Raw genomic sequence first — 7,595 nt, 5'->3', positions numbered from 1 at the left:
TTTGTATATATATTTATATATTTTGTATATATATATTGTATATATATTATATATTTATATATTTACATATAGTATATATATATTTGTATATATTTATATATTTGTATATATTTATAGATATATTTTATATATATTTTTATAAATATATATTTTATATATATATTTATATATGGAAAGATTTCCAGAACTGCTAGGTGAGAAAATGATCTATAGACGTATGCTTGATTTTTTTTTTTTTTTGTTTAAAAGATCTACATATTAGTATTTGCAGCTTTTTCTTTTCCTGATATAATCAGAGAAACCATTGACAGAGGCTACTTTTGGGGAATAGAACTGGAATTTGGTGGAAGGAAGATGTGTAACTTTCTGTTTAATTTTTTCATATGTCTATGATTATTTAGAAATGGAAATTTTATTTACTTTTTGAGATGGAGTCTTGCTCTGTCACCCAGGGTGGAGTGCAGTGGTATAATCTTGGCTCACTGCAGCCTCCGCCTCCTAGGTTCAGCTGATTCTCCTGCCTCAGCCTGCTGAGTAGCTGGGATTACAGGCATGTGCCACCACACCCAGCCAATATTTTTAGTTTTAGAGGAGACAGGGTTTCACCATGTTGGCCAGGCTTGTCTTGAACTCCTGACCTCAGGTAATCTGCCTGCCTCGGCCTCCCAAAATGCTGGGATTACAGGCGTGAGCCACCGTGTCTGGCCAAAAATTTTATTTATTTTATAGAAAAGCATATACTTATATTTTAAAACCTCATGCTGTTACTATAAATACATTTTATCTGTCAATTTTAAAAAGAGAGCATATACCATAATCTGACACCTCTGAGGCTAATCCTGTTATAAATTTGGGAAAATTACTTTATTTCTCAGTCTTATTTTACTCATTTGTAAAATGGGAAAAATAATGTGTACTTCATAGGATTTTTTGAAGATTGAATGAGATAATGGCATATAGAAACACTCAATAAGTATTTGCTATTATTATTAATGTAATTAGAAATTATCCACTGGCTTTTAAACTGTTCTTATTTGCATTATATTGTGTGTCATTGCTGTGGGATTAAAATGCAATTCTTAGTTTTTCATATTCTACTCAGAGTTAATGTTGTACCAATTCCCATAAAATATATAAACTTGCAATTGTAAGGTCTGTTTATCCCCTTTGCCATGCCTTTATGCTATTGTTATTACAGGTATTGAATATGTATTATAAAAGCAACAAGATGATATTATCATCTTGCTTTAAGGAATCGTATGTATTTTTAAAAAACGAACAGGAAAATGATCTTTTTTTTATCAGATATTTAAAGCCTCTGATGCGTTTTATTTTTTGGTGAAGATTCATAATTCCATCTGTTATTTGCTTTCAGACTGAAGAGTGTTCCTTAGCATTTCTTGTTGTGCAGGTCTGCTTTATGGATCCTTACATATCCCACTTATTGTGTATTTTCTTATATTGCAGAAATATTAATGTGTTTTATTATGGAGCCCTGAAGCAGATCCTGCTTGGGATATTATATTGTGTCACTTGGATAAATTCTACATAACCTCAGGAGCTGACTCAACAAGCTTTGGTGATAGTCTATGGCAGTGGAATTAGTAAAAGAGAAAGAAAGAAGGCAAAGATGATTCCCAGTTCTATTGCTTGGGCAATAAGGGTGAGTGCAGTGTCATTTAATGAGAGGAGTGACAAAATAGCCATTTTAATGGGGAATTGGAGTGAGAGGGGTTGCCAAGTTTAGTTTTGTACATGTGAAAGTGGCACATCCATGTCCAGGAAGTAGGTAGGTACACAGGTCTGGAGCCTAGAAGGGAGGTCTACATTAGAGATGTTCAGGCCTCTGTGCCATCACAGTGGGTGATAATTGAAGCAGTGAGATCACGCAGTTATTCAAAGATAATGTACAGGACAAAAAAAATCAGACCTATGGTAAATCTTAGCATCAGCAGTTTCAATGGAGTAAAGGGGGAAAAAGCAGATTTCAATGAGATGAAGAATGACTGGAAGGAGAAAATAAAACAGTGAGTGTAGATGGCTCATTTAAGAAGCCTGGTTGTGAAGAGAGAGAACCAAAGAGGTTTTAATTTACTTAGTTTTTCAACATGTATGAGACCTGAGTATATTCTTCCCATGTTGATAGAAGAAACCATAGAGGGAGAGGTTTAAAGATATTTGATCAAGGACCATTCTCCAAAGGGGGGATGAGATCTGGAGGACAGGAGGTGGAGAAGGAGATGTGAACATTAGGGAACAGGTTAACTCTTGTAACAAAAACAGGAAGACAAGGGTAAAAATGGATGCAGGTGAGGGCATTCTTGCCTAACAGCTCCAATTTTCTCAGTGAAGTGGAAGATGAGTACTGAGAGTGGAGGGGATAGATGAGCTGCTTAGATGGTTTCATGAGAACAGATAGGTTTTGAAACAGCCACTGTGGAGACTCAGAGCAAGAGTTAATTAGGGAAATGGAAGGTCTTGTAGATGGAAACCAGGATCTCGTAAATCTGTAGTTACACCAACAATTCCTTCTTCCCACTATGAAAATCGGAAGAAGAATCTGCCTGACATCATAAAGTGTCCCTCAATCCATATGTGTTTGTGACAGGATGTTCCTCTCTTTCTCCTTGTGAGTTCTCAGCATCCAGTGACATTCTGCAGCCTCCTATAACCACTGAAGTATAAGCATGAAATTTTCAGCCATTTGACACTAAATCTTTCCTCTTGGGTCTTCTCACATCAATGGCTATATGAATACAGCATTATAAAGATCTAAGCATAAACCTACCTGAGAGAAGAACACCTAAATGTTAGCTTCGGTGCATGATTTAAGCAAAGTCATTGCCTGAAAGAAAAATAATTTTCTACTCTAGGAACAGTTCCCATGAGACGTGACAGCCAAAGCCCTATGAGCTCCCCAAAGGCTTCTCCCTGAGACTAAAAATGCTTCATTCAGGGTATTTCATGTGGGATATCTTTAGTAGCCATTGATTTCTTATAGAAACTATGCATCATGCTTCCCCGTTCCTTTCATTCATGTGCTCTTGACAGCCTTTTTGCTGAACCTTACAAGGGAAATAAATGTATCACAGTAGGCTCTGAAAGGACATGAATTTAGAGATCTACTTGAGTTTTATGGGGACCCCAAAGCACTGTCAGGAAAGGTCTGAACTTGGAGCCTATTCCTAGAGAGCAGATGCCATCAGCTGGCAGATGATCTTGGGGTCAATGGATTTGGCTTTAGGGGACAGGAAGGCAGAAGAGCAGAGACCTACAGCTGACAAGCTGACTGACGTTCATAAGGGATGTCACAGAACCAAATTAGCCCACGTGCTAGTGGAGGAGTAGGGAAAATTGTCCTCACTTAGAGAAGCAAGAGGCTGTATCAGAGACAAAGCCCTGCTAATTGGTGAAAGTCTAAGTAGATGACAAGAGCAGAGCAGGGGAGATACCAGAGTCACTTCAGTTTCTTTGTGCATTTGTTCATTCATTCATGCAGGAGGTATCTGTGGAGCTAGCCCCAGAAAAGAGGCATGCCTTAGAAACTGGCTAGGAAAGGATGGGGGATTTTAAATGGAGGGAGTGAGAGGAATATGATGCAAAAGTAGAAAACTACAAATATAACATTAAGAATGGTGAATGGTTTCATTTGCTGAGAATAAAATGATTTTTTTTTTTTGAGATGGAGTCTCACTCTGTCACCCAGGCTGGAGTGCAGTGGTGTGATCTCAGCTCCCTGCAACCTCTGTCTCCTGGGTTCAAGCAATGATCCTGTCTCAGTCTCCCAAGTAGCTGGGATTACAGGTGTGTTCCACCATGCCAGCCTAATTTTTGTGTTTTTAGTAAAGACAGGGTTTCACCATGTTGGTCATACTGGTCTTGAACTCCTGACCTCAGATGATCCACCTGCCTCAGCCTCCCAAAGTGCTGGGATTACAGGTATGAGCCGCTGTAGCTGGCTAATGAAAAGAATTTGGAGAGAAGTTTGGATTAGATTGGGTAGAATCTTAAATGCTGGGATAAAGTCTCCCCTGCTTTCCATGGCATTCAACAGGAGTTTTTATTAGGTTGATGCAAAGGTAATTGTGGGGTTTGGCATTACTTTTAATGTAATATGAAACAACCTGATACAAAGGTCAATAGGAATGGACAAGGTGCACTGGAAAGGAGAGACTGAAGATCAAAAGACCAGCTGGGTAAGTTTTGGAAAGCCCACCTGACAGAGGCTAAGGAGTCAGGGAAGCCATTGTGGGACTGGAGGAGAGGAGAACACATAAGACATCAAGGAGTTATAAATACGCTGACAGGATATGGCACAACAACAAATAGGATGTGATTGATAAGGGAGGAAAGACTTGAGGTTACAAACCCGGGAATCTGTGAGGATGCTGGTACCTTGACTACCCAGAGAGAAAACAGTCCCCAGTGATTGTCCCACGTGTCACCTTTGTCAGAGCACTTAGAACTTTCTTCTTCCCTTTCTTTGTTTTATTTTTTTTTTATTCACTAGAAAGTATGCTTCATGCAACTGGAGAAATATGTCTTCATCAATATATCCGTTCCTCCTAAATCCTCAACAATCAGATAATTGGTGCTCAATAAATATGTGTTGAATAAATGCTGAGTGGTGCCCTTTTATATAAATGGAAATAAAAATGATGGGAATAATAAGTAATCTAAGAGAAAATAATTTCAGAAGTTACAATAGCTTAGCTCTGCCAATAACCAGTCAAATGGATTTAGAAATATCACATAGTGCCTATTCACAATAGCAAAGACATAGACTGGATTAAGAAATTGTGGCATGTATACACCATGGAATACTATGCAGCCATAAAAAAGGATGGGGTCATGTCCTTTGTAGAGACATGGATGAAGCTGGAAACCATTATTCTGAGCAAACTATCATAAGGACAGAAAACGAAATACTGCATGTTCTCACTCATAGGTGGGAAATGAACAATGAGAACACTTGGATACAGGGTGGGGAACATCACACACTGGGGCCTGTCATGGGGTGGGGGGGAGGGGGGAGGGATAGCATTAGGAGATAATACCTAATGTAAATGACGAGTTAATGGGTGCAGCACACCAACATGGCACATGTATACATATGTAACAAGCCTGCATGTTGTGCACATGTACCCTAGAACTTAAAGTATAATAAAAAAATAAAGAAATATCACATAGTGGCTCTTGTCTCAGTTTTCTGATCTAAATCAGGGATAATATTATTTCGCCCCCCCCCATTTTATGGTTTTGAACATAAAATCATACAATGGGTATGAAAGCACTTTGGAAAATGAAAAGTGGTGATTCAAATATAAGATTTTATCAGGGGAGGAGGCAATGTTATTTGTAACTTGTTCTCTAGAAGTATAACAATTTTGGAATTGAATCATCTTTAGAAATTATTAAAAGCACTAAATTATTGTTTTCTTTCTTTTTTCATCCCTTAACATGATATTGTGACTAAGAGTGCTTGTTGGATAAAGCTTTGATGTATGAGTCTAAAGGGGCTTGGAGTAGCCTCTCACCAATTAAATTTCCTCTAGACAAACCCCGCATAACTTTAAAATGAGCTAATGATAATAATACGAGGTACGATTTTCTGGAAAGTGAATCTTTTGTCAGAAAGAAGATTGGGCAGTAAATATGTCTCAGGAGGGAGCTGAGGTCTCTACACAGTTCAAACTAAATGCACAACAGTATTTCAGATGTCACAAGGTGACTGCATCTCCTAGAATATCATTAATCAATGTTCTAGGGTTTTGATAGAGAAAGCATCCTTTGCTCTCCTGGGGCTCTTGTGCTTTTTCCACTGAGTATTTCCTTTGGAAAAGTTGTCATCCTTCTTTCTGCATTTTATGAGAAGCTGCCTCTCTGCCTGAGCTGTTGGTTTGTAGGTCAGAGTTGAGTGGTCACATGGGAAGAGCTAGGAAGAAAAAGGTTTGGAGTAAGACTGCTAAGTCTACCGACCTCAACCAGACTGGGTGTGGGTTTGGGGTGGGTGGGGGAAAAGAGAAACCAATGTTCCCGGTTCTGGGTGCTTGAGGGTCTCCTCTATGGGGACAGCCAGGGCTGAGTTGCTCAGTGATCAGGTGACAGGTCAGGAGGGAGAACAGGGATGACAGTGTTGGGTCATATAACATGCAATGGAAGGACTATCTAATACAAAACAAAAAAAAAAGCAGCTCATGCAAAATAGTTATCTTACATTCACTTAAATTTTGTTTATTCACACCCACCCTTGAGGCTGCTGGTTGTCTTTCTGTGAAACTGCCCAGGATGGCTGGTTTTTTGTCTTGATATAGTGGAAATCACATGAATTTGGAGTCAGATAAATTTGGGTCCAAATCCCAGCTCTGCCTTCTCACAGCTGTATGACCTTGGACACACTATCTAACCCCAGTGTGCAATATGGGAAATGGGCTCCTCCTCAAGGATTTGGTGGAAGGATTAAAATGATATATTAAGTTGGTACAAAAATAATTTCGGCTTTTGCCATTACTTTTGCACCAACCGAATAGCTTGCAGCTCATGCCTTGTATTCAATATATTCAGTGTCACTATCACTATTCTCTCCATCTCCCCTACTCCTGTTGCTTCTATGATCAGTTAGTCTATTACATTTATCATATCAGTATTTTATGCTTTTGTTGTGTCTCAACTATAGGAAGTATTAAAAGGGAAGAAAGAAGTTGAAGAACTACATAGTAGGAAATATCCCAAATCCACCATCTCTTCTCTCTGGGAGGTGGTCTTAGTTTCTGGAAACGTTAATACTAAGTCATCAGCAACCCTTATGCATAATAGTAAATGAGACAGTCACTATTCTTATTAGGATGCTATCTTAGTTGGATTGGGCTGCTATGACAAATGACCTTAAACTGGGTGGCTTATAAACAACAGGTATTTCCCACAGTTCTAGAGGCTGGGAAGTCCAAGATGAAGACACTGACAGATTCATTGTCTGCTGGGGGGCCCATTTCCTGCTTCATAGATGATATCTTCTTCTTGTGTTCTCACATGGTGGAAAGGGATAGTTGTCTCTCGGGTCTCTCTTATAAGGGCACTAATTTTATTCATGAATGCTCCACCATTGTGACCTAATCACCTTCCAAAAGGCCCCACCTCTTAATAGCGTGGGAGTTAGAAATTCAGTATATGAATTTTGGGGAAACATAAATGTTCAAACCATAGAAAGTATGGGTTTTTCCAACCAAGAGAACTTTTGGTAGGGGGCTTTTCTGTGATTTACTTTAGCCTACTAGCTGTTGAAAAAATTCTCCATTGCATAATATTCTAGCTGAATTATTTATATTGCCTACAACTTGATAGCACATTTTTACTCTAGAGAAGACATTACAAAATAGTAACTGGCCATCACAGAGTATTTACATTTTATGACAGGTTATTTACAAACTAGCTTATTTCTTACAACCAATGCATAAAGTAGATTATTTTCTTTGTAAGTGAGGAAATAGAGGTTTAGAGAAATTGAGTGTTGATGGACACATAAAGAAGAGATAGCATTCATGTTTACATCAAATGACTCCAAAACCCATGCTCTGTTAAATAAGACAGTCAAGTAA

Source organism: Homo sapiens, chromosome 8 (genome assembly GCF_000001405.40).
Source record: "Homo sapiens chromosome 8, GRCh38.p14 Primary Assembly".
NCBI lineage: Eukaryota > Metazoa > Chordata > Mammalia > Primates > Hominidae > Homo > Homo sapiens.
The sequence above is the reverse complement of the archived record's forward strand: the minus strand, read 5'-3'. Positions refer to the sequence as shown.